Here is a 27,977-nt window from a genome sequence, read left to right on the forward strand (position 1 = left end):
CATTCCTAGAAAGCAACGTTCCCTACCTGCTGAAGCTGAAGTCCTCTAATCACAGATCTAATGCAGAGGATTAATGAAACCAAGCAAGTCAGAATGACAAAGGCATCAAAGATCATCATGTAATGAGTGTTCTTCTGAACTGAAAGCAAAGAGGATTACATAGTGCTTATGTAGTGGGACATTAATATGGTGACATCTTCTTTTTAGAATCATTTAAATAATTCAAGCATTCTTTCTGGTAAGACAACAAAGAAGCCCTGATAAACGGTCTTCCAATTAGTATTTGAAGAAGGGCAAAAGTCTTTCTTTTAAAAAATCACCACAACTGAGGCTGGGTGTGGTGGCTCATGCCTGTAATCCCAGCACTTTGGGAGGCCGAGGCAGGCGGATCACAAGGTCAGGAGATCAAGACCATCCTGGCCAATGCGGTGAAACCCTGTCTCTACTAAAAATACAAAAAAATTAGCCGGGCATGGTGGTGAGCGCCTGTAGTCCCAGCTACTTGGGAGGCTGAGGCAGCAGAATGGCGTGGACCTGGAAGGTGGAGTTTGCAGTGAGCCAAGATCATGCCACTGTACTCCAGGCTGGGTGACAGAGCGAGACTCCATCTCAAAAAAAAAAAAAAGAAAAATCACCACAACTATCATTCCAAGATCTTTAATTATAAGCCTGTAGTCTTTTGTTCTTAATACAATTACCTCCCTGCATATTCTTTTTTTTTTTCCTCAGCCTCCCTCGTAGCTGGAACTATAGGTATGCCACCATACCGGGCTAATTTTTAATTTTTTTGTAGAGACAGGGTTTCACTTTGTTGCCATGGTTGGTCTTGAACTCCTGGTCTCAAGTGATCCTCTCACCTCAGCCTCCCAAAGTGCTGAGATTACAGACATGAGCCACCATGCCCAGGCCCATCTCCCTGCATATTCTATTAAAATGTACTTATCTAGGTATAAAATATTTATTATGCATTCACTATGTGTCAGGCATTTTTCTAGATGTTAGGATACAGTGGTGAACAAGATAGACAAGGCCCTTGATCTGTGGAACTTCTATTCTACTACAAAGAAGTAAACAAACACATAACAAAATACTTTCAGATAGGAGTAAGTAATAGAAAGAAGATAAATCACAATAGCTAACATGTATTGAGCACATTTCTTGCCAAACATAGCTCTAAACACTTTATATGTGTTAACCTATTTGATCTTCACAGCAACTCCAATGAGGTAAGCATGATTATCCCCACTTTGCAGGCGAGAAACCTGAAGCACAGAGAGGTCACATGATTTCCCCACAGTTGCAGGGCTAGTCAGTGAAAGAGCTGGGGGAAAATCTGTGCAGTTTGTTTCCAGTGTCCATCACTCTATGTCAGTGGTTCTTGGCATTTTTTGGGAGCTTGTTAGAGATGCACATTCTCAGGTCCTACTCCAGACCCACTGAATCAGAAACTGGGTTTCTGCAAGCCCTCCAGGTGATGCTAAAGTTTGAGACCTACTGCTCTATATGAGGGAGGTTAGTGTCGGGCAATGTGGAAGCAGAGAGGTTGATTTATATTGCATAGTAAAGGAAGGCCTCACTGAGGGAGCAGGGGGTTTTAGCTGAAACCTGAGTGATAAGAAAGAGCCACCCTTATGGAGATTTTGGAGAATCGAAAGTGCGAAGTCCTGGCCACCATGCGTGGAGCCAATGGAGAGAGGTGGGCAGAGGTGTCAGCCATTGTACACTGCCACAGAGCTTGTCTCTATTTAACAAGTTAGACTGCTCTCTGCTGACAAAAAAAAGAAAGTACTTAAAACTAGCTCTGTGATGAAGCATCCCATTAGTATCTGCCAAGGAGCATAATTACTACATAAATGTCTAAATTGACTTTAGAGAAACTTACAAATTAAGAAACAAACATTTGAGAGAATGCCTAGGTGCCAGACACTTGTGTATGCTGTCATTTTCCTCATTCTGGTGTTTGTGGAGAATGATTATAAAGTATACAGATGACAAAACAGGCTTATGTTTCAAATGTGACTCAAGAGCCTCATATATTTGAAGTTACCTATTAGTGAAAAAAATACTATCATGGCAAAATTTCATTTTATTTACTCTATCTCATTATTACGTCTGAACTTGGCAAATCAATTAGTAAGAAACTTTAGAACTGTGATTATCCAAGTATAGTCTGAGTAAGGACTATTTACACATTTCTAGGCCCCACCCCAGACCTACTGGCTTGCATAGAGCTGGGGAAACTGCATCATAGCAGGTACCCAGGATGATTCTTCTGCTGATTAGAATCTGAGAACTCCTCATCTAGCGACCATTAAGTCCAGTACGATGTACCATTATGTCACTTATGAGAGACTAGAAAATTAGATAAATTCTTTCCAGGCAATTCTCTCCAGTTCAGCTCCAAAATTCTTGACAGTATTTGGTCTACACCTGAATTTTTGTCCATATTTCTAAGAGTAGATCCTTTCCTCTTTCAGTACACTTTTAAATGGACTGAAGACAATCATAATATGTGGGATGCTGCAGGGTCACATCCTACCTGACTTGCCCCTGGCTTCTGAGCCTTAGTTTCTTCATCTGTAAAAATAAGGATTCTCCCTATCTTAAGGGCATTTAAAAATATTAAAATGAAGAAAACTAAGGTGGAAGTAGGTACACAGCATGCACTCGGTAAGTGTTGGTCTGGGAAGATGTATGTAGGGTTTTGGTGGCGGGGGACTGTGAGTACATTCTTGGTCAGGAGTGGGCAAGTGAGGGCACAAGGAGAGGAAGGCCATTTCAGTTATTCATGACTCACATATTGCCTGAAACATCAGAGTTGATCTACTTGTAGAGGTTTAGGGACTTGAAAATGGTCTAATCTTCTATTTGTTGTTCTAGATATCCAGAGGGTGCTATTTTAATAACCATTTTACATTATTTAATAACCATTCTGAAAACTAGTAATGCGCATCACTTACTTGATCCAGATACATGCCAGTCTTTACATTCTCTGATGGAAATGTCATTATCTAAACTTATTTTAATTCTTCCACTATGGGCCTTGTTGTCAAATGTTATCTGTGAAGACAGGAAAACAGTCAAAAACATACTTATAGTTTTGGAGCCAAGAAACCTCTACACATTAATTAGGAAACAATTCTTTCAAGGGGACAGGAGACCCAGATTCTCAACTCTGATCTGTTGCTAATTCTGTTCAACCATGGGAAGTTCTCTTCATTTCTCTGTGAAATGAGAACGATGAACTAGATCTTCTACAGAGACCCTGTAGTCTCTAAAACATTATATGTCTAGGGCAGCATTTCCACTCCAAAGAACTTATATAACAAGAGCACTTCCTCTTGCTCTCTGTTCTAAGTACCTCCAGATACCTTCTTCATGTGAGCAAGAACTGGTACAACTGTGCTTTCTCCCAAATTCCGGCAGGACCTCAGTTAGGGGTAGATTTTTAGTGCTGCTATAATTCTTACTAATACAAAGGCTCATTATTTCTGCTTTGAGACATTTCAAGTGGAGCTTTTTTGATTTTTATTCTGGGCCTAGATTTCTTAGTCACGTTGGCACTACATGTATTATAAAGGGTTTGGTGACAGGGAGTCAACAGTCACATCTTGCTTCAAGAATAACCACTTCAGGACACCAGGGGCCAAGCAGGACAAAGCTAGGCCAGAACACCTTCCATAGTTTTCCTACTGTCTTCCTTATGCAAGGACAGGGAAGGCAAGGCAAGAAAATCAATCCGTTTCATTTCTGCCTCTTCTCTTTCTCTCAAGTCCTGAAGAAAAAAAGTTCTTTGAAAACTTTGTCATTTAAATAAATTGTATTGAAGCTTCTCCATATGGGGTAATCAGAAACACTTCAAATATAAGATTTCAAATGACTTTTAAAAGTTCAACCACTGTATTTCTCCTCATGAGGGATTGTAAGCTTCTTTCTTTGACAAGCAACTGAGGGCACAGTCAGTGTCTGCCCATATCCCTAACGGCTGCAAGACCCAGCCTATGGCCTCGTGCAAGGAGGACGCTCAGTGTTACTTGATTGAGTCAGAAATCCTTGCTACGGAGAAGCCATGCTTTTCCTACACAAAGGGCCTCCAACTTGTACAAATAATAGGTGCTCACTAAATATCTATTGAGTAAAAAACTGGGACTTAATGTCAATCACATCTCAGTAAACTGAATCCCAAAGAAAGAAGAAAAATAATGGATGGGATTAGAAAACATTAGATAGCACAGAAGAAAAAACAGTGAATTTGAAAATATAGCAACAGAAAATATCCAAAATGAAACACACTGAAAAAAACTGAGACATAAAACAAACAGATCATTACTGAACTATGGGACAACTCCAAGTAACCAAATACAGACGTTTTTGTCTCTGAATCTCTGAAAAGGTGGGGGGAAGTGACAAATATATTTTAAGAAAATCATGCTGAATAAATATCAAATATAATGACAACTATAAACCTACAGATCCAAGATGCTCAATGAACCTTAAACACAGGAAACATTAAGAAAACACCATCAAAGCATTTCACAATCAAATTGTTTTAAAGTAAGAGATAAAGGAAAAATTTAAAAGCCAACAGATGGGAAATAACATCCCATAGATAAGAACAAAGATAAAGATGACAGCAGATTTCTCATTAGAAATAATGCAAGCTAGAAGCAACATCTTTAAAGTGCTAAAGAAAAAAACAGTCAACCTACAATTCTATAGCCAAGGAAACTACCTTTAGCAAAGGAAGGCTTGGAATAGAATAATGGTTACCAGAGGCTAGAAAGGGTATTGGGGAGGCGTGGGGGATAAATAAGAGTTCGTTAATAGGTATAGAGATACAGTGAGGGCCGGGCACGGTGGCTCATGCCTGTAATTCCAGCACTTTGGGAGGCCGAGGTGGGTGGATCACGAGGTCAAGAGATCAAGACCATCCTGGCCAACATGGTGAAACCCCATCTCTACTAAAAATACAAAAACTAGCTGGGCGTGGTAACGTGTGCCTGTAGTCCCAGCTACTCCGGAGGCTGAGGCAGGAGAATCGCTTGAACCCGGGAGGCAGAGGTTGCAGTGAGCCAAGATCACACCACTGCACTCCAGCCTGGCAATGGAGCGAGAATCCATCTCAAAAAAAAAAAAAAAAATACAGTGAGATGGGAGAAATAAGATCTAGTGTTTAGTAGCACAATATGGCAACTATAGTTAATAATTTATTTTATATTTCAATATAAATAGAGGAGTAGATTTAGAATATTCTCAACATAAAAAAGTGGTAAATATTTGAGGTGGTGAATGTTGTCCCAATTACCCTTATTTCATCATTACACACTGAATGCTGGCATCAAAATATCACCTGTACCCCATAAATACGTATTCGTAAAATTTTTATTTAAAAGATGCTAATAAGAACTTTAAAAAGGAAGGCAAAATACTTTTTTAAACATACAAAAGCTGAAAGTGCAGACCTGCACTGTAAGAAATGTTGCAGGAAGCCCTTCAGGCAGAAGGAAAATAATACCAGATACAAACTGGGAGCTACACACAGAATGAAGCACACTGGAAATGGTAGCTACATGGGCAAATAAAAAAATGTTTTTATTATTATTTAAATCACTTTAAAAGATAATTGACTGTTTAAAGAAAAAATAGGCTGGGCACGGTGGCTCACGCCTGTAATCCCAGCACTTCGGGAGGCTGAGGCAGGTGGATCACGAAGTCAGAAGATCGAGACCATCCTGGCTAACGCGGTGAAACCCCGTCTCTGCTAAAAAAAAATACAAAAAATTAGCCGGGCATGGTGGCGGACGCCTGTGGTCCCAGCTACTCAGGAGGCTGAGGCAGGAGAATGGCGTGAACCCGGGAGGCGGAGCTTGCAGTGAGCCGAGATCGCGCCACTGCACTCCAGCCTAGGTGACAGAGCGAGACTCTGTCTCAAAAAAAGAAGAGAGAGAGAGAGAGAGAGATTAATAACATATATTGTGGGTTTATAACACATGTAGAAATACATTATATGGCCACAATAGCATGAGGGCCAAGATGGGAGAAATGGAAGTACATTGTCGTAAGGTTCTTACACTGTGTGCAGTGGTATAACTTGAAGGTAGACTGTAATAAGTTAAAGATGTATACTACAAACCCCAAACATGGAAACATCCATGGTGAAGACACTAAGTAACAAGAACCCTTGGCAGTAACCTTTAGCTGACAGCCAGCCATAGATTGCTGAGAGCCAACCACACAGAACCTAAAAACACCTATTCCTTTTGGGTTTGAAAATCTATACCAGGCACTGTTCGTGGTACTGGAAATAGTAGTGAACAAAACAAGGTCCCTGCTTTTCTAGAACTTATACAGAGGTGTAGAAGACATAACTAACAAGTAAACTTGTTATTATAGCAAAATAGAGCTAGATGTATCAATGCTTCCCTTATGCACATTCAAGTGAAAACATCCTATATTTTTTTATCACACCGTAATCCAAGGATATGAAACATTACCAGATAAAACAATTTTTCTCCAGACTGGAACCAAATTCAGCCTGGCCCACACTTACAGTCAGAGTAAAGTCATAACAGTCAGGGAGTTCTTGATGACGAACTGTCTGCAGATTAATGGCTTTCAGTTTAAACTGAAGCTCCACTGTTAGGAGTCTAGAAAACAGAGGTGATTTTAGTTCTGTGGCAATATATACGTGCAAACGTAAGTTACACTCCTGTCTGCTCCCCTCACCTGTGGAAGTCCAGTGTTAAGTTCAGTTTATTTTCTGCTGGTGTCCCAATGTGAAAAGGTTCATCTGGCTCCACAAAGAAACACTCTGCCATAGAAAGGAACAAAAACATGATACAGTACTTAAATAAGACTGCATTTTGAAAGGCTGATACATTTAAGACCAGTTATTCAGATTCTATTATTTTTCAGATTCTATTATTTTTCTGAATTAAAATTTTAAAAGCTAAATAAACATTGATACCACATGGTTACCGTGACTCATGTGTTTTTAAGACCTAAGTGGCTACATTTCTGGAGTGGATGGAGGCTAGACAAAGATCTGAACTCTATTTCATTAATGTTATATAAATGCTGTCTTCGTTTTTAAGCCTAGATAAACTTTGAGTCCCTCCCCCTTTTTGTATCCTAAGCATAGGATTTGAAGCACTTGCAGTAATTACAGTAATATTTTCTAAGCAGTTTGAGGGATCTATTTTTAAAATATTATGCACTAACAATGTTTCTTCAATAGACATCCCACACACACACCAAAAAAGGAAGACAGCATTTTAGAAAGTTTTCCCTTTCAGTACTGTTATCAGTATTATCTCTAGAAAAAAAAATCCTAGTGGCTGTTGTTAAAAGTATTTCAATACTTATTTTTTAACTCAATGACCTAAGCTAATATTTTAGGCATAATTGCAAATAGAACTTTGCTAAGAAGAATACGCCATGCTATTCCATGTTCTGATTTTCATTCCTCCCCTTCAATCTACCCCCAAAGATGCATGATAGTGAAGTGGTATTGGGGCAGGAGAGTTTTATATATACCAAGAGTTTGCAAGCATAATGTTTTACAAACATTATATCTATCTATTAATACTTCACTGGCATATCCTGCACAAGAGATGGTGGAATACGATAGCTAAGAACACAAACAGCCTGAGCCCAATTTCAGCACTGCCTCTTCTAGCTCCATCTTTGGCAGATCATTTAACTCTCTGAGCCATAATTTAGTCTTCTATAAAAGGGGATAATAATAATCCTTGACTTGCTGGGTTTCCTTGAGGATTCTTGAGTTATAGTAAAGGGCTCAGAACAGTACCTGACACATAATAACTCGTATATCATTCTTACTATGTCCTAATATCACAGACCAAATCAATGTTTTCAAAGATGAAATTACTAATTTTAAATATAAATTGAGGTGTTAAAAATTGAGGTTCTAGGTTATAGAAGAACATCACCAGTTTCAATTTCTGGATCGATGTCAAAGGTATCATTTCCAGGGTAGATGTTTCCTCGCTTGTAGAAGTGCTGACAGATTGCCATAGCAGATTGCTTGGTACCTTTGTTCTCATAAGCATGATTCCCAACGGAGACATTGTATAGCTGCAAGTACTTCAACCAAAATGAGAAACAGAAAATGGGAATGCCAGCCAGGGCAGGAGTGAAGCCATAACTCCCCTCCCTCCCCACCTCTGATCCTGGCAGGTTCCCTTGGGATAGAGACATTCACTTTGATAAACAGGGTAAGTGACTTGCTGCTGTGCACTAGGAAGGCAAAGGGCACTCACAAATTAGAGTTCTAGATTCAAGCCTCATTTCTGTGACAAACTTTCTGACCTTCTAGTTCCTGATCTGTAAAATTAAAGTCTGAAGCCACATACTCTTTGCATTTCTTTCCTCCCTTAAAGAATTATGTTTAATTCAGGTGATATTCAATGTAAATACATATTTATCTTTAAACTATCTCCTGTAAGGTCAGAGTTCTACTTTAACACTGTAGTATAAGAAGTGGGATACAATTATTATAGGCTAGCCAGCAAAACCTTTTTTAAAGAAAGTATTGGTTTAACCTTTATCTTTGCAAGATTATAATTTAATCACCTTTATACCAATATTGCCTATCCTAGTGGGTCCTCTACATTTAAAAAAATTACTTTTACAAGTAAGAATCTTACGGTGCCTTGGAATAACTGTCATCTTAAATTCTTAATGGATGTCTGCAGACATGTTTCCAAAACAAAGTGTTTTTGGAGCAATATGTCTGGTACAGTTGGTCATTCTGTCACTCTTGAAATGAACAACTTTGTGTGATCGACACATAGAAAATAATTCTGCTAAAAGATATGAGTGAAGCATGCTATGACAAATGAATAAAATAATTTCTAATATGGGATGGATTTTGAGTTGGACCTTGTCAAGGTCACTAATGAGCAGTGTATTACCAAATCTGATGCCTAGTTCTCAGTCCTCCTATAACTTGACATCTCCATGGTATTTGATGCAGTTGAATGCTCCTCCTACACGGAATACTTTCTTTACTTGACTTCTGGGACACTGATTGTTTCTTCTTGGTCTCCTTTGCTGAAATCCTCCCACTGCCAACCTCTATATTTTGGCCTATCTTTGGGTTCAGGCCTTGACCTCTATCCACATTCTCTCCACAGCTGACTTCAACCAGTCCCATATTTCAAATACCACCTCTATGCTGACAGCTTCCAAATTTGCATCTTCAGCTCTGACCTTTCCACTGAATACCACACATGGATGACAATCTGCCTACATGATGCCTATGGTGTCTAAGAGGAATCTCTAGTAAATGGGCAAACAGAAACACCTGCTTCTTCCATAGTAATTCCCTTCTCAATAAATTATTCTGTAAGTCAGTCAGTTGTTCAGGCCAAAACTTAGGAAAGATCCTTTTGTCAATTCCTCTTATACTCCACTTCCAGTCCATCTGAAAGTCATGCATGACTTTCAAATTATCTCTGCAAAAGAATCACTTAAAAATCTGAGCCTCTTCACCACAAATAGGACTGTCTCTCATCACCTTCACTGATATGGCCTCAGTCCAAACCACCATCCTCTCTCCCCTAAAAAATTAAGCCTCTGCCTCTCCAATCCTCCCTCTCACCTTAGTCTAGTCTCCATCTAGAACTCATAGGATTGCTATAAAGAGTGAATGAATTCATGCATGTACAGCTCTTAGAACAGTGATATCCAAAATACACCTGCTCAAGACTCTTGTTTTTACTGTTCTTCCTATCTGGAAGGTTCTTCCTTGAGATAGACACAGGCTGCATGCTCTCTCTTTAGTCTGCTGTCTGCTTACATGTCACCTTGTCAGAGAGACCTTCTCCAACCACCTCCAGCTATTCACTTTGCTGGCTTTGTTTTGTATTTCACAGTACTTATAACAAACTGACAGATGATGCTCTTCTATACTTATTTACTACCTGGCTCTTCCAATGAGAATATGACCTCCTTGACTTTATTTGTTCACTGCAGTACCCTTGCACACACAAAAAGTGCCTGATACATAATAGATACTATTTTTGTTTGTTTTTGTTTTTGAGAGGGAGTCTCGCTCTGTCACCCAGGCTGGAGTGCAGTGGCATGATCTCGGCTCACTGCAACCTCTGCCTCCTGGGTTCAAGCAATTCTCCTGCCTCAGCCTCCTGAGTAGCTGGGAGTACAGGCTCATGCTACCACACCCGGCTAATTTTTTTGTAGAAGTAGAGACAGGGTTTCACCATGTTAGCCAGGAAGTTCTCGATCTCCTGACCTCGTGATCTGCCCACCTCAACCTCCCAAAGTGCTGGGATTACAGGCATGAGCCACCGTACCCAACCAATAGATACTATTTAATAAATATTTGAGTGAATACATGTTAGATTTTGCTTATGTATATTATCATTGTCTCTCCCCTATCAAAAGCCCTTCCATGGCTTCCTGTCTCTCTCAGAATAACATTCAAGGCTCCTTTCCATGTCCTGAGAGACCTGGCCCCCAGCTCCCCTGGCCCTAACTCTGCCCCCTCATACTTGCCTCCCTCGCATTTTCTCAAACATACCAAACGCTTTCCAGCTTCAGGGCCTTCTGTTGCCACGCCTTCAGCTTGAAATATTCTCCCCAAGATTTCAAGTCTTCAGAAAGGCATTTTCTGACCACTCCGAGACTACTGTTATTGCCTTATGCTAGTTTATTTTTCTTCATAGCACTTATCATTACCCTAAACCAAAAGATTTTAGTTAAACTTGTTTAAAATCTATCTCCCCCATTAGAATGCAAGTTCCACAGGACAGGGAATTTATCAATTCACTGCTCTAACACCAGCCCTGCAGGCACACAGTAGGTGCTCAAATATTTGTCAGATTAATGGTGAGGTGAAAAATTATAATAATGCGATGGAGCTCTTCATTACTAGAGCTAATCTGTGCACAGTGAGTTGGTAAACTGTTAGGATAAGATAGGTGATTATGGCACCAAGCTTTCTGTTAGCATTAGGATTGGGAAAGTGAGCCAGAAATCTATGGTAACAGAAGCAAGCTTCCTAAGCTAGTAAACAACATTATGCTTGGCATATAGGGATAAAGTAGAATAATGCTGGAGATACTCAGTTTTGAGATTTTTGTTTTCCATTTAAGGTACCCAGTAGACCAGTGTGCCTAGAACATATGATGTGTAATGGGAGGTAAACTGGGAAAGGCAAGCAGGGGTCACGACGCACAGTCATAGCTGTGATGGGGCCTACAACTCTCCCAGAGTCCAGGTGTAATTGTGGGGCAGTCCCCACAAGAATCACCTAAAGGTCTGAACCTCCTGACCACAGAATCTTGTGTCTTAAACCTTTTAAGTTCTTGAACTGTGAAAGATCTGAGACCCACGGCTGCAGGTACCTGTTCACATTATACCTACATACACCACATAGTTACGTTATATAATATATACATTAACTATATACGCTATAGCCAGACTTCCTTGAGCTCTTCATATGGCTCTTTGTGCAGGTCTGAGCATCTGGCAAGAACTGGGTAATCTAGGGAAGCAGCAGGGCTGTGTCCAGCTAGAGGGCAGCTCTAGAGCCCAAGACAGAGGGTTACGGGACAGAAATGTGGTATGAGATGATGGTTGGAACTAACTGGTGGAACTAACAATGGTGAGACGGCACAGAGCAGCCAAGTGGCTGAGGCCTTGGAGGAGCTTTAATTAGTCTGGGCATCCGTCCCTCCTGGTCTCTGCAGCTCTGCCTTGAGAGAAGGAGTTTTCAGTCAGATTCATGGGTCCCAGGTCAGCCTTTGAGTGGTAATATAAAAACACATTAAATGTCCTTAGCTAAATGCTGTGGCACCAAAAGCAAGAGGTGGTAGGGCAGGGTGGGTAGGAAAGAAAGGAAGCCATCCAGAAACAGGAATTTATAAACTATGTTTGAGCTGCAAGAATAAATGATTCCCGGAAGACCCTGAGGCCTTTCAACCTAAGCCAGAAGACCAGAAGGAAGAAACAGCCTAGGGAGTGGGTGGGAGGAGAATATGAAGCTGCTCTTGGATGGGCAGTTCTGAGGTGCTTGTGAGGTAGGTGTCTGGCAGTGTGGGCAACTGCTTAGGAGTCCCTTCATCATACTGATGGCTGAGGCTGGGTAGTGGAGGACATTTCTGTAGGAAAACGACCAAGCTTTGAGGACTGCTCAAATTTAAGAGGCAGATGAAAGAAAAGGAGCCAATAAAGCTGACCCAAAAATTATTAAAGAAATAAGAGGAAAGCCAGGAGACAGCCTAAAAAGAAAATAAGGTCTCTCACATTCAAATATAGAAACATATATAATAAACAGTAGTGCTGTTATAATCACAGTATTGGATCAGAATGAGCCCTGGAGATTATCCAGTAGGATGACATCTTGGGGCTAAACCCTTGGGGATAACTAATAGTCATGGATATGCTTCTAAGAACTGAGATGCCACTGCCCTATTTGTCAGTTCCTCTCAGTAACAATCACCTCAACTATTAAGTAAAGAAATGCTTTCTTCACAGAAAACAAAGATCCTTCCTGTTTTAATAACAATTTACATTTTGGCCAGGTGCAGTGGCTCACACCTGTAATTCCAGCACTTTGGGAGGCCAAGGCGGGCAGATCACTTGAGGTCAGGAGTTCAAGACCAGTCTGGCTAATATGGCGAAACCCTGCTTCTACTAAAAATACAAAAAAAAATTAGCTGGGGGTAGTGACGGGAGCCTGTAATCCCAGCTACTCAGGAGGCTGAGATGGGAGAATTGCTTGAGCGCAGGAGGCAGAGGTTGCAGTGAGCCAAGATTGCGCCACTGCACTTCAGCCTGGGTGACATGGTGAGACCCTGTCTCAAAAATAAAAAATAAAATAAAAAATAAAAAATATTAACTCACATTTTTTCTATTCATTTCTCAGAAGCCTGAAAGAGAACTGACCTCATTAGACCTCATTAACACTCAAAACCCTACTTATTCATAAAAATTTTGATCAAGACACTTTTTATCTTCAGCTAAAAGTACCTACTGGTGCTTAGAAAAACAGTAAATCATCTTAGAAAACAGTAGGGAATCAACAGTAGGGAGTCATACATGGAATGTATGTGTCCCTCCAAAGTTCTTATGGTGGAAATTAAACCCCAATATGATAGTCTTAAGAGGTGGAGTCTTTAGGAGGTCAACAATCATGAATAGGACTACTGGCCTTATAAAAGGCTGGGAGAAATTAGCCAGGCCATTTTGTCCTTCTGCCTTCCATCATGTAAGAATACAGCAAGAAGGTGCAAGCCATTACCAGTGGTAAGGTAAGTGATCTTGGACTTCCCCGGCTCCGGAATTATTAGGCAGAAATTTCTGTTGTTTGTCTGTTATCTAGTCTCAGGTATTTTGTTGCAGCAGAAGGAACAGACCAAGACAACTAGAATAAAGCAGGTACCTGCATTTCCAGAAGGAATGTGGAAATCTGAAAAAGCAGAATGGCCTAAGTGCCAAATACTACATTTTGAAGACTGAGTCTAGGTCTACGAATAAAGGTTAAGATGATTTATAAGGAATTTAATGCACTTTGGGAGGCTGAGATGGGAGGATCACTTGAGGCCAGGAGTTTGAGCAACCTGGGCAACATAGGGAGACCCTGTCTCTATAAAAAAAATTTTTTTTTAATTAGCCAAGCATGGTGGTGCATGCCTGTGGCCCCAGCTGCTTGGGAGGCTAAGGTGGGAAGATCACTTGTGCCCAGGAGGTTGAGTCTGCAGAGAGCTGTGACTGCACCACTGCACTGCAGCCTGGGTGACAGAGTGAGATCCTGTCTCAAAAAAAAAAAAATTTAATGAACTGTTTACCTCTTGCCTCTATCCCACTCCCCGCCACCCCTCGAAAAACACCAAACTACCAGTTTAGATCAGACTAGCTTTAGAGAAACGTAATATACTTAAAATTCTAAAAACGGAGTATCTCCATCATTATGCCTTCTTCCCCCTACAAGCTGTAGGACATAGTTCTGTTGAACAGTTTATGTAACTTATTTCTATTACTTTAGATTTCTGGCTCATTTTCCCAACCCCAGTGCTAACAGAAAGACTTCATGCCATAAATATGTATTTTATCCTAGCAGTTTACATCTTACTGTGCATAGACTGTCTCTAGAAAATGAATAGCCATGATTATACGATAATAATTTTCTGAAGAAAAATTGTAATAATTTTGAAATGTGTCCTTCAAACTAACCCAGTCTGGGAATGCTGACTTCAAGGACGCTTTCAATGACACCTAGAGATTTAAAAATTTGGGGTCTTGAGAAAAATATATTATTTCTGGCAAAAATATATATTACAAACTCAGAATAAAATACAGCATTCATCTATATGAAAAACAAGCTTGTTTTTTGTTTGGCAGTTAGTCAATGTCACAATAAAATCATTGTCATGTATGACATAAAGGCCTTACTTTCAAGTGAATTTTTAGGTCTTGGTTGCTGTACAAACTATGAAAAGTTAATATTCTCATTATTTGTTAAGAGGCCCTGAAAGTATACTTTCAGCTCTGAGGACTTAATGACTACTTATACCCAGGGTCATAGTTAGTAATTTCAATCTTTGAGACTCCCATGCCAAGCCCTAACTCTGATTCTTTTAATTAAATCTTCAAAGTTTCTGCCTTTCTGTTACTAAACAAAAGCTTTTCTCAACTTCTGGTTTTATAAAAATTTGTTGACAATATTTTTAAAAAATTAAAAATAATTTTGTATGTGTCATTTCCAAGCAGAAATGTTCACCCTTCTCCACTTGAATGTCAGTTTCTATTATGTACATTGCCACCATTTTTCCAGTCTGTTCTTTTTCCCAAGTAAATAATGCACACACTTGATTTACCTGGTTTACTGCGAAGATTAACTGATCATACACGTCACTTTGTGTGTACACTGCATATGTGTCATCCATTCGGTCCATATATCCTTTTAGGAAAAGGTGTTTGAATGCTATAGTATTCTCTTCCTTGAAAGCTACCACCATCTGGTTACTTAGCCCAAATAAGACCAGCTTAAAAGAAAAAAAAGAAAAGGTAAGAGGGTGGAAAATGTGGGCAGAAAAAGCAGAGCAGAAGGTACAGGGGCTTGAACAACAAATAGAAGAGTTTAAAATGAATTCTCTGGGACATCAAGAAGGTTTTGCAGCAGGTGGATAATAAATTAAGAAAGTCCAAGTCCTATGACCAAACTATATTCCTAGGTCTAATCACCAAAACCATGACAGGAAGACCAAAAATAGAAAATACCCTTTCAACTCATGTTTAAATTAAAGTATATTAACATAATGTGTCCTTAATAGTCACGCAGGATTGACCTCAGCATTTTACGTGAAACTCAGTTGTTGACACACACAAAAGGTTTCACTGCACTGTTGTCATATTAACCTAAGGCCTTTCAATTATACCTAAAAGCTTACTATACAGCCGGGCGTGGTGGTTCACGCCTGTAATCCCAGCACTTTGGGAGGCCAAGGCAGGTGGATTACCTTAGGTCAGGAGTTTGAGACCAGCCTGACCAACATGGTGAAACCCCATCTCTACTACAAATAAAAAAGTTAGCCAGGCATGGTGGCGCATGCCTGTAATCCCAGCTACTCAGGAGGCTGAGGCAGGAGAATTGCTTGAACCCGGGAGGCAGAGGTTGCTATGAGCTGAGATTGTGCCATTGTACTCCAGCCTGGGCAATAAGAGCGAAACTACGTCTCAAAAAAAAAAAAAAAAAAAAAGCTTACCATACTCTTAAGTCTCTCTTTTGTCTTCTCTTCCCTCTCATCCAAACCTCTCTCTCTCTCTCACACACACAAATGCACACACAGCACACACAGGCACACACACACACACACACCACATGCTGTACATGCTGTAAATTGAGAAACTACACCCTTACTTAAATCCCAGAGTGAGGCAGAGTATATTTTATATGGAAGGCGGGAACAATGTTGAGCACCTATGTGCCATACACTATTCCAGGAACTTTCCTCATACTAATCCTGCGGTGTATTCCTCATACACCAATTTTAGAGATGAGGCTCAGAGAAGTTACATAGTTTTTTCAAGTCACATCACTAGCCAGTGTTGATACAGTGAAAACTGAAACCCATGTCTGACACACTAAATCTAGGTTCTATCCACCCTGTCATGCTACACAAAGTAATCCAGGGTTTGATCAGAAAAAATACAGCAGACAAATCTTTTCCCCTCTCCCTTCCACATATGATATATGGTCTGCACCCCACACATATCATCACTCTGCACCTAACTCTCTTTTCTGCAGAGCTTCTTTAATTGTCCTCAATAAGATGACATCTTGATATTCTAGGGATTTTGCATCTGTTGAAGCTGATGACCAAACAGCCCCAAAGAATTCCCAAAGATATTCTTACCAGTCATTCAAATACATGAGTACCTCTCCTGTGTCAGCAGTGAGCTAGGGACTGAGGATACAATGAGAAGACAATTGGTCCCTGCCCTCAAAGGTTTAGTGGCAGACAGGAATAACAATGGCTGAGAGAAAACTGCTGTAATTCAGAGAGTAAGCCAGGTAGTGGGAAAAGAGAAATTTTTAGTAGGGTGTCTATCATTGTAAACATCTTTCTTTTGCTGCTGCAGACACAAAATCTCCAGTTTAACAGAAGGACCACCTCATTTTCCCTGAGATAATCTGTCACCATTTGCTCACTTCATTTGCTCAATTACAAAGCTGTCTTTATCTAATATTTGTTTGATTGCTCTGATATAAATTAAGGAAACATCACAATTAAGAAACCCTCAGTTCCTTTTAAAAACTTACCTAAACACCTTTTACATGCTTATTACTAGCAGCCTTAATATCTTAAACCATTGTTCAGTTTTCCCTTGACCACCTTAGTAAACATAGGAAGGTAGATGAGCTCCCTAAAAATTAAGAAGTAATTACGAACATAAATCTTAGAGAAAATAAATCTGAGTTTGAATATCAGTTCTACTCTTCTAGTTTCCTGACTATGACAGGGTCCTTTTCCTTACCAAGACCCTCATTGTTCTCCTCTGTGAAATGAGGATACCACTACCTACCCTCCAACTTGTTTTAAGAATTGAGTATGGGCCGGGCACTGTAGCTCACGCCTGTAATCCCAGCACTTTGGGAGGCCTAGGTGGATGGATCACCTGAGGTCAGAAGTTCAAGAGCAGCCTGGCCAACATGGTGAAACCCCATCTCCACTGAAAATACAAAAATTAGCCGGGCATGGTGGTGTGTGCCTGTAATCCCAGCTACTGAGGAGGCTGAGGCAGGAGAATCGCTTGAACCCGGGAGGCGGAGGTTGCAGTGAGCTGAGATGGCGCCACTGTACTCTAGCCTGGGTGACAGAGTGGGACTCCATCTCAAAAAAAAAAAAAGAATTGAACATGATGACATCTATAAAATGTTTAGCCTGGTATACAGCAAACACTCAAGTGGTACCTATTATTATTCTAAGTAGAAAATATTCATGTTCAATTGATACAGGCTTTTCTCCTTTATAAGAAACTAAACTTTTCACTATTGAGACACACCATATTATCACTCAGAAGTTAAGAATTTCAATTTCAACTTGCCAAGTATTTGGCTGAGAACTGAACATCCATTTTCAGGGTAATATAATAGAGAGAATGCCTGCCTTCAAAGTCTTGATATTGCCACTGACTAGCCATGTGACTTTTTTTTTTTTTTTGAGACAAGGTGTCGCTCTGTCACCCAGGCTGGAGTGCAGTGGTGTGATCACCACACCTGGCTTATTTTTGTATGTTTTACAGAAACAGGTTTTCACCATGTTACCCAGGCTGGTCTGGAACTCTTGAGCTCAAGCAATCCACCCACCTCAGCATCCCAAAGTGCTGGAATTACAGGCATGAGCCACCCTGCCTGGCCAAGCCATGTGACTTTAAAAGAGCTCTACAAACATCAGTTTCCTCTTCTGTAAAATGAGCCAGTAAGAATGTTAGAATTAAATGAAATAATGTACTGGAACAGGGTAGTCACTAAATGTTTGTTTCCCTTGATACAACACCTAGCATTAGAAACAAGCAAGAATTCTACCAACTTCATATGATTGTAAAAATTGCCTTGGTTCCCTAACAATCATAAGTGTTTGTTCTCAATAAGCAGTTAAAATTAGTAATATCCTGTTTTTTTTAATCTCTCCTTCAATACCAATTGTTTATTTACTTAGGCATTTTTCACCAACTTAGGAAGAGTAAGTAATAATAAAAATAAACCTATCACATCTATTTTTCTCACTAAAATCTGCTTCTATTTTGCCCTTTGCTTTTAGCAAGAGATAATTTGACCAACAGGAAAACATATTTTCATAAGAATAAATCACAACCAGTATATATTAAGAATCACAAAATATGGTTCCCCCTTTCCCCCAAAAAAATATTAAAAGCAGCCAAGGAAATGTGATTTAAAAGCTCCCTTTGAACTAAAAAGAGGTCCTGTGTTTCACTAGCTCCTGCCACTCCTCTTCTGTTAGTTAACTTCACATTCTTCCATTGCATGGTTCTCATGATCACAGGGTTGTGAGAATCTAAGAATTTGCCTGTAGCAGGAACCCTTTAAGTTTCTGAAGAGAGAAATTCCCAGGAAACTAACTAGGAAGGAAAAGAAAGTCCTAATGTTGGACAACACTAGTTTCCATGGCTTATTTAGAAACCAGCTGAACCTCTTCATTGGAAGCCAAATATTAGTTTTCTTTTCCTGAAAATTAATTAGATTATGTGACTAAAATTATAACTTAGCGAACGATACAAGAAAAAAACTAAGAAAAAAGAAGACAAACTCTTTCACAAATGTTGAAGACAGAAGGGTCTAAGATTGTATGTTTTCTTATCTGTTACTCTTCAACATTTTGCATATAGTTAAAAGTTATTTAAAAAAAAAACCACTGTCCATAGTTATCTTTGTAATTAAAAGAGGCTTTCACCAAACTCATGATCTGAGATGCTTACCTGGATAGTCACCATTGCAATTTTTAGAATTTGTATGGCAAGTTTCCATGGTTTTCTACCTCGAGCCCAGAACTTCTCACAGGGATTCATGAAAAAAAATTTGAGTTTTCGCCTCATCTGGTCTTCTAATAGAAGCTCCTCAGATGGAGATGTTTGCTGGTTAAAATTGCAGCGATTTTCCTCTTCATGAGAGCTGCAGCTACTCACAACTACCTCAGGATCTGCCATCTCTAGAGGAAAAAAACAACAACAACAACAACCAACATTTCCATTTAGTGAGTAAAGACACAAGTCCATATTCTTTAATATTGCAAGGAGAAGCCCATACAGAAGTCCTGGTTTCAAATAAGCACCATTGCTCTAAACTGCATTTTAGATGTTTACAGAATCAGTTCCAATGTAGGACGTCACTTTTTTATTTGTTTTAATTACAAAGTGAATTTTCACCTAGTTCAAAGTTACCAAATTCAAGGGCTGCTCCCATTAGTAAAAGATTATATGTACATATATATAGGATGTATATGTTTTCTGCCTCACTCAGTATAGTTAGAGGATCAGAGACCTGAGGACCTGGGGGAAGGACTTCAGAGGGTAGGTGGGCCTTGAAGTTATATGAAAACTTTCATATATGTGGCTGTGGACACTTTTTCCTGGGAGGTAACTAAAACTTTCACAGATTATCAAAAAATGTTTAAAACCACCGAGTTAAAGATAGCAGGGTGTAGTGTAAAGAACAAGATTCAGTTTGGTTTCTAATCCTGGTTCCATGACTTGACGTTTCTGCAATCTCAGGGAAATCACTTAGCCCTTCTGAGCCTCAGTTTCCTCTCCAGCAAAATGGGAATAACTACACCTACCCTTCTATGATTGTAGCCAGAATTAAATAGTTATGAGTGTAGAGAGCATTAAATAAAACAGTAAACAAAGCCTTTGCATAGGGTCTAGCGCTAAGCAGACTCACCTACCTAACACCCACAGCAGACAGGGTGGCTTCCTAGAAAGCCAGTAAGGTTCTTAAGGGGCAGTATGAGCCTCAGGAAACATAACTGTTGTACAAAGGGGAAAATGGGCCCTCAATTTAAGCCTAATTCCCAGTCTGTGGCATCGCTTGTAATGACTTTTTATTGAAGGCCTTATATTTATAGCATATTTTCAAAGTACTTCATATCTATTTGGGGGGGGGGGCAGGTACGTTTGAAAAGGGTTGGGTCGGGCTGGTTTTATTGTCTTCAGAATCAGTTTTTTCAAAGTGACGGAGAAGTCACTCTAGAGACTGGGATGGATCTTGGATTTTCCCTCAGACTAAGATTGATATTATACTATGGAAACCTGTTCAAAGTAAAATACCCCAAACAATGAGTAGCGTCCTTCCATACGGAATAGAAAGGCAGGCTTTATTTGACATTTTAATAATAACTTGTACTCAGCAATGAAGAAGGAAAATTGTAACCTGCATTCATACAATATCTTACAAGTCACTGGTTAGATACCATGCTGCTTTCCAAGTCTAGAACCCCACTTTTGATTCCAATTCAAGCATTCTTAGGAAGCCCAACATCTCCGAACAATAGATACTGGCTATAAAGAATAGCATGGGGAAGGTTCTTAAACTCTTGTTAATGAAAAGATTAATAAGGATACTGCTGGATGAATAAACCATAAAACATATTTACTGTATGGCAAATGCAGTACCTTCAAAATGAAATAATTATTATATAACTCATTAAAGTGTGGCTCCTGTGTGCGTGTTAAAATGCCTGTCAAAGCATAAATGCAGTAATTCTTAGGTAAAGGCATAAAGGAAAGAAAAAGTTATTAATAAATTAGGATTTTCACTTAACAGTTTTACTTCCTTCAAAAAGGCAGGATATTTTAACCAGCATTTAAGGAGACTTTATCTATAGGACTTAAAACGCAGATGATTTCATGTTGACCAAAGCTCGCATATGAACACCAACATAATGATGAAGCTGTTAATAAGCATGTTGGTGAGTTGTATATTGACACTAAGCGCTTTCCACTTTGATACAGGGAAAATTAAATTTTAAACAAACTAGCCACACACCATGTACAGTAATCCACAGGAACAAAGAGAAAACAAGCCAACCAGCATATATTCAGCACATCACAACGAGTTGTCCCGGTAGACATTTCATTCACCAGGACCAGATGCTGACCTTGGAAAAGTCAGGTTTACCCAGTCTGAAAAGCCCTTCCGAGGGTGCACTTTTAAAAACTGCAAACTGTCGGGAACCCCAGCAGCTGAAGGAGGTATTCGCAGCCAGCCACCCTTGACATTCACCCGGAGCGCCGGCGCGGGAGGCAGGGTGGGCGAAGGACCCCATCAGGAGAGGCTACCCGACGAAGGGGCCATCCGGAGAGGCTACCGAAGTATCTATCAGGCATGCTCTTAGAAGGAGCAAACGGACACACACAGGTTACCTGTTCCTGGCGGGCAGAGGCTTGATTGGAGTAAGCTGTAGAAAATTGGAGAAAGCCCGGGAGTGTATAAATAGCAAAGGCCTCCCAGTTGGCGACAAAGTTATGCAACCTCGTTTTTTCAGAAGCGCTTTCCCACTTCACCAGACACAAAACTTTAGTCTCTCCAGTCTTCTTTTTTTTTCAAACAAACAAACAACAAGGGTTGACACTTTTGTTGGGTAGTGTGTGCGAGAAAGATCTGCAGGGTTGCAGCGATGTCCCAGAGCGGTCGCTGCCATCCCCGGGCACTGCCGTGGAGCTCAGACGGCCGCAGCCCGGCTGGCGGCTGCTTTCAGCCAGCGCAGCGACCCGGGCCTGAGCCCCCACTTCCAGCCGCCCCCACCTCTAACAGGGGGACAGTCCGCCTTGAAAGGGGCCAGCCGAGCCGCGTCAAGGCCATCTGGAGCCCCGGCCGGCATCCAAGCCTTCCAGCCCAGGGGCTCCGGGCGGGGGTGGCTTCCAGCCCTCTGAGCCCTGGCCACAGGTGGGCGGCGGCCTGGAGGGGGACCGAGGAGCAGAGCACCCCCACCCGCCCAGCCCCGGGCAGGCCCGGCAGGCGCGCTCCTCCACTGACCTGCGGGCGGCTTGGGGGCGGCGCGGAACAGCTGCATCTCGCGCCCAGCTCCAGCCCGCCTGCCCTCCATGGCGCCGACTGCCCGGCCCGGCCTTCCCGCGGCGTCCCCGACAGCTCGCTGCCTCCCGGCCTCCCCGGCCCTCCCTGTGCGCCGCGGGCGCCGTTCCCGCGACACCCGACGCCCCGGGGCAGCGCCCCGCGGGCTCACCTGGGGGACAGCGGGGAGCGGCCGCAGCTCCGGTGTCCGCGGCGAGGGCGCAGGGCGAGTCAGCGAGCGACTCCAGCAGCCTCGAGCCCCGCTCCGCCCAGAGTCAGACGGGAGGAGAGCGCCCCGTCCGCCGCCCGCGCATCCTCCCGCCCCCGCCGCTTTAACTCGTGACCCTACTCCCGGCTCGGGTTCCCGCCGCGCCCTGTCGGGGGCCGCTTTTCAGGAGCACAGGTGGGACGCAGGAGGCCGTCCGGAGGAAGCCGGCGTTGTGCCCGTTCCCTGCCACCCCCACCCTATCACTCCCTTCATTTTCTCCCTGAGCAACCCGCACCGCCCTGCTCGGGTTTGCCAGGTTTGCTCCGGAGCTGCCGCCGGCGCCGGGGGGCCACCCCCTCCTGGCCAAGGCCCCTCAGGTGGTTGCCGGGCTCCGCGGGTGCGGGATCTATAGCGCCTAGCTCCGGTGAGTGTGAGGCCCCGCTGCAGCCTCCCATTCTGATTTTTGCATACAAGGTGAAATCTTGAATGTCTTAGCGTTTCAAGCCTGAACCTTGTTCCCTCCCTGGGTCTTCTAGTTTCAGACAAGTGCTGTGAAATGAGTGGACAGTCGACTAGACTCTTCTGTAGATTGGCGGCTGGGGCAGAAAGAGCCCTGGGAAACTTTTCCAAGAAATGTAAATAGAAATACCTGAAGTAGACTTTGAACCGTAATCTTTTTCTTCATAAATTATCTGTAAATATTAAACCTAATACCCCTTATCAGGATTGGATCAGGAACTTTGGTTAATTTTAATTATAATTACTTTGGATGTGTTCTGATTTTTAATTTTTACTTATTTTTTTTTTTTGGCCACGGGTAAATTTGTAAAGGTCACTGAATTTCCCTACTAGGGTATTCCTGAAATTAGATCGATACCTAGCAAACCTTTTATAAAACCTGTTTTCAAATCCTAAACCAGTATGCATGGATTACTAATAAATTTTTGCAACAGGGTACAAGAATTTTATGCTGTTCCTCAACCTGGATCCCACATACTGTGAACAAGGTAGATACCCAGAAAGGATATAATTGGCACAGTCAATTCTCAAGTGCAATTTGGAAAATATAATGTAATCTTTAATCCCCATATGCCTACACACGATGTAACGCTATCTCCTTACTTGATGGTAAGAGTTTGAAATGCTTGATTGTTCAGGAACAATCTGAACTTTGAAGAGGTTCACAGTCATAAATGATGGCACTTGCTTAACCCTCGTTTTAGCTGAGTTATAAGGACCGGTGAATAGATAAAGCCAGGTTTTGGAGTCAGACAGATGAGGGCCCAAATTCCCTTCTGTGCCACTTATTGGTCTCTAGGGAGTTACTTACCTTCTCTGAACCCCTTTTCTTTTTTATGTGCAATCTGTGAAGTTAGCCGAGAGAAAGGACGAGAGAGAGAGAGAGAGAGGGAGAGAGAGACCGAGAGAGACCGAGACCCAAGTTCAGGCAAGCCTTTATTCAACCTGCCGGCTGCTCCATTACAGACAGAGGAGGCAGCCCTGAGCTTACAAAATGAGGGTTTTATGTGGGGGAGAGAGACCCTGGAGTTGTTTGTTGGTTAACTCTGCCACATATCACCTTGTGACGTTTATGGTACCGGAGGGTGTAGGTAAAGTTTGTTTATACTTCCCACGACCTCCCACTGTGCAGTCCGGATGGTTTGTAATTGGGTTTGCTTTATAGCAGCAAGACCTGATAGGTAAAAGTCTCCTGGCTTCACCGCGGTGCCTAGATAGGGGCTTAGAAATGTAAAAAGGTTTGGGGGAAGAGGAGGGGTGGTACGGAGAGGTTTGCGGGGGTGGGGGGCGGGGGTGTTGGCAGTACCAAGAAGCTTTTTTGGGGTAGCTTGTCCCTAACACAATCTAGCTAATAAAAGGAATGGTGATTTTTAATTAATATGATACATGTAAAGCACCCATTACTATATGAGGCATATGTGATGTGCTTATAAATGCTGATTCCCCCTTTTATTTGGAAAACTTAATGAAAATATCAACCATGTTCATAAATTACAAGACTCAGTATTATTAAGATGTCAGTTTTCACCAAGTTCATTTATAGATTCAACCCAATCTCAATGAAAATTCTAGCAAACTGTTTTGTAGAAATTGACAACCTGATTCTAAAATTCCTATGGAAGCAAATGCAAAGAATCCAGAATAACCAAAGCAATTTTTTAAAAGAAAGATAAAACTGGAGGATTTATCCTACCTATATCTATAAAGCTATTTAAGCTAAACAACTTGGTACTGGTGAAGACAGACATATAGACTACACATAGGCAATGGAACAAAATAGAATCCAGAAATAGATTCACACATATATGGTCAATTGATTTCTGACAAAGATGTTAAAACAATGTAAAGGGGAATATTAAACCTTAACAATCAACATAATGATGTTACTGGCTTAAAGGAATATATTGAAACCAAATCAAAAGAAAGACAGGAAACGCTGACATCAAAGGTTTACATAAACATTCCTGGAAAGCAAGAGAGGAGTGCATAAAAGAGAAGCGGTAAAGATCTTATCAGTCAATCTTGCTTTTAACTTTTACAATGTTATAAGTTTGTGTTTCTGGACTTGTCAGTGAGTCATTCTTGTAAATAAACATCAATACATTTATAGTCATAGAATACATTTGTTTTTGTTTTTGTTTTTTGAAACAGGGTCTAGCTCTATTGCCCAGGCTGGAGTACAGTTGCTCGATCTCAGCTCACTGCAACCTCTGCGTCCCGGGCTCAAGTGATTCTCCTGCCTCAGCCTCCCGAGTAGCTGGGATTACAGGCACATGCCACCATGCCCACCTAATTTTTGTATTTTTAGTAGAGATGCAGTTTCACCATGTTGGCCAGGCTGGTCTTGAACTCCTGACCTTAGGTGATCCACCCACGTCGGCCTCCCGAAGTGCTGGGATTATAGGCATGAGCCACCCCACCTGGCCTCAACATATGTTTCTATGTAATGCTTTTGTTGTTGCTAGAATATCCAAATGGTATCTTACTATTATAACACATTTTGGTGGACGACTGACTACGTATACAACACTTCTCATAAGATTATAACAGAGTTGAAAAACTCCTATCACCTAGTGATGTAATAATGTCACCGCAATAACGTTGTAGAGCAATGCGTTATCCACCTATTTGTGGGGATGCTGGTGTAAATAAACTACTACTGCACTGCCAGTCTATAAAAGTGTAGAACATACAGTTATGTGCAGTACATAATACTTGACAATGATAATAAGCAACCATGTGATTGGCTTACATATTTACTATACTATTATCATTATTTTAGAGTATACTTCTGCTTGAAAAAAAAAAGCCAGCTGTCAAATAGCCTCAGGATGATTTCCAGAAGAAGATTGTGTTATCATAGGAGATGACACTTCCATGCCTGTTATTACCCCTGGACATCTTCCAGTGAGATAAGATGTGGAGGTAGAAGACAGTGATATTGTTAATCCTGACCTTGTGTAAGCCTATGCTAATGTCTGTGTTTTTGTCTTAGTTTTTAACAAAAAAAAGTTTTAAAACATTGAAAAATAGAAAGAAGCTTGTAGAATAAGGATATAAATAAAATATTTTTGTATAGCTGTACAATATGTTTGTGTTTTAAGCTGTGTTATTACAAAAGAAAGTTTACTCATTTTAAAAGTTTGGCCAGGCACGGTGGCTCACGCCTGTAATCCCAGCACTTTGGGAGGCCAAGGTGGGTGGATCACAAGGTCAGGAGTTCAAGACCAGCCTGGCCAATATGGCGAAACCCTGTCTCTACTAAAAATACAAAAATTAGCCGGGCTTGGTGGTGGGTGCCTGTAGTTCCAGCTACTCTGGAGGCTGAGGCAGGAGAATCACTTGAACCCAGGAGGCGGAGGTTGCAGTGAGCCAAGATTGCACCACTGTACTCCAACCTGGGTGACAGAGGGAGACTCCGTCTCAAACAAAAATAAAATAAAAATAAAATAAATAAAAGTTCATACCATTTCCATTGTGCAATGAAAAATAAATAAATGAATAAATAATTTAAAATTTTAGGCCAGGAGAGGTGGCTTATCCCTGTTTATCCCAGCACTTGAGAGGCCAAGGTGGGAGGCCTGCTTGAGTCCAGGAGATCGAGACCAGCCTGAGCAACATTGGGAGACCCCATCTCTACAAAAATTTTTAAAAATATCCAAGGATGATGGCATGTGCCTGTAGTCCCAGCTACTCTGGAGGCTGAGGTGGGAGAATCACTGTGTCCAGGAGGTCGAGGCTGCAGTGAGCCATGATTGTGCCACTGCACTCTAGCCTGGGCGACAGAGCAAGACCCTGTCTCAAAAATAAAAAGTTTATAAAGTAAAAAACTTACAGTAAGCTAACATTAATTTATTATTAAAGGAAGAAAAATGTTTAAAATAAATTTAGTGTAGTCTAAGTGTACATGTTTATAATTTATGGTAGTGTACAGTAATGACCTAGGCCTTCACGTTCACTCACTGCTTACCTACTGACTCACCCAGAGCAACTTCCACTCCTGCAAGCTTCATTCATGGTAAGTCTCCTATACAGGTGTACCATTTTTAATCTTTTTTTTTTTTTTTTTGAGACAGAGTCTCGCTCTGTTGCCCACGCTGGAGTGCAGTGGCACGATCTCAGCTCTGCAAGCTCCGCCTCCCAGGTTCACGCCATTCTCCTGCCTCAGCCTCCCAAGTAGCTGGGATTACAGCCACCTGCCACCACGCCTGGCTAATTTTTTGTATTTTTAGTAGAGACGGGGTTTCACCGTGTTAGCCAGGATGGTCTTGATCTCCTGACCTTGTGATCCACCCGTCTCAGCCTCCCAAAGTGCTGGGATTACAGGCGTGAGCCACCGCGCCCGGCCCCCATTTTTAATCTTTTATATCATATTTTGACTGTACCTTTTCTATATTTAGATATGTTTACATACACAAATACTAAACACTGTGTTCCAGATGCCTACAGTATTCAGTAAGGTAGCATGCTGTACAGGTTTGTAGCCTGGGAATAATAGGCTACGCTATATAGCCTCGGTGTATAGAAAGCTATCCCATCTACGTTTGTGTAAGTACACTCTATGATGTTCATACAACGACAAAATTACCTAACAATGCACTTGTTACGACATATCCCCATCATTAAGCTATGCATAACTGTATTTGAATACCCAATCTTGTTTTCTGCATTTTCCATAGTTTGAATATTCACTGAAGGGTTTAGTTCTTTGTAAAACAAAATATTTTTTTTGTTAAAAAAGTAAACGAGCTTATATAAAGCAACAGATACCCCAACGTCCAATCTGATAATACTTTGGAAGCACGTTTAACAAGTGAACTGACATGAAGTGCAAAATGAGAGAAATTTTCTCTCATCTGGAATATCTGTCACAAAGCAAAGATGAAATCTATCAGATAAGGAAATTGTTTTATGTGTTTTAAATTGTCACTTGAAGAATTATTTTTTAATTAAAATTTAGAATTTTTTATTTAGAATTTATTTTGCATTGATGCTTCCTTCCTTTAATGATTTTTACTATGAAATATCTATGACAGGTAGTGATCATTATCATATATAATCAAATATATACTGTTCTTCAGTATGTTGGCTGATAATAATAATCATGCTTTTATTATCTTTTTTAAACCAAAATAAACCTCTGAAACTTTTAGTATAATCCTAGCACAGAAA

The 27,977-nt window shown here is 41.0% G+C and overlaps 1 protein-coding gene across 8 annotated transcripts in view, besides 3 other annotated features; it reads right to left on the reverse strand.

Moving 5' to 3' along the window:
• Positions 1–22,355, reverse strand: part of MCOLN3 (mucolipin TRP cation channel 3) — a 30,419-nt gene extending 8,064 nt beyond the window's left edge. For 2 of the 8 annotated variants that reach the window (XM_011541741.3, XM_047424402.1), the window contains exons 1-8: positions 22,043–22,120; positions 18,988–19,217; positions 14,865–15,032; positions 7,953–8,106; positions 6,727–6,811; positions 6,551–6,647; positions 2,961–3,060; positions 27–139 (exon numbers count right to left, since the gene is read on the reverse strand). In XM_011541741.3, coding sequence (XP_011540043.1) covers positions 27–139; positions 2,961–3,060; positions 6,551–6,647; positions 6,727–6,811; positions 7,953–8,106; positions 14,865–15,032; positions 18,988–19,217; positions 22,043–22,112 — 1,017 coding nt within the window. In that variant the 5' untranslated portion in view covers positions 22,113–22,120. Of the gene's footprint in view, positions 1–26; positions 140–2,960; positions 3,061–6,550; positions 6,648–6,726; positions 6,812–7,952; positions 8,107–10,564; positions 10,724–14,864; positions 15,033–18,987; positions 19,218–21,429; positions 21,465–22,042; positions 22,121–22,250 lie in introns of those variants that run through there. The other 6 variants (XM_005271003.2, NM_018298.11, XM_011541739.3 and 3 more) reach the window with 6 other exon arrangements.
• Positions 1,454–1,763: an enhancer, noted in NCBI's record as "active region_1265". NCBI's record gives its function as "activates an Ori minimal core promoter by ATAC-STARR-seq in GM12878 lymphoblastoid cells {active_cell/tissue: GM12878}" and the evidence as "EXISTENCE:reporter gene assay evidence [ECO:0000049][PMID:35858748]".
• Positions 21,837–22,586: a silencer, noted in NCBI's record as "silent region_1029". NCBI's record gives its function as "represses an Ori minimal core promoter by ATAC-STARR-seq in GM12878 lymphoblastoid cells {active_cell/tissue: GM12878}" and the evidence as "EXISTENCE:reporter gene assay evidence [ECO:0000049][PMID:35858748]".
• Positions 22,617–22,756: a silencer, noted in NCBI's record as "silent region_1030". NCBI's record gives its function as "represses an Ori minimal core promoter by ATAC-STARR-seq in GM12878 lymphoblastoid cells {active_cell/tissue: GM12878}" and the evidence as "EXISTENCE:reporter gene assay evidence [ECO:0000049][PMID:35858748]".

This window comes from Homo sapiens, chromosome 1, assembly GCF_000001405.40.
Source record: "Homo sapiens chromosome 1, GRCh38.p14 Primary Assembly".
Classification (NCBI taxonomy): Eukaryota; Metazoa; Chordata; class Mammalia; order Primates; family Hominidae; genus Homo; species Homo sapiens.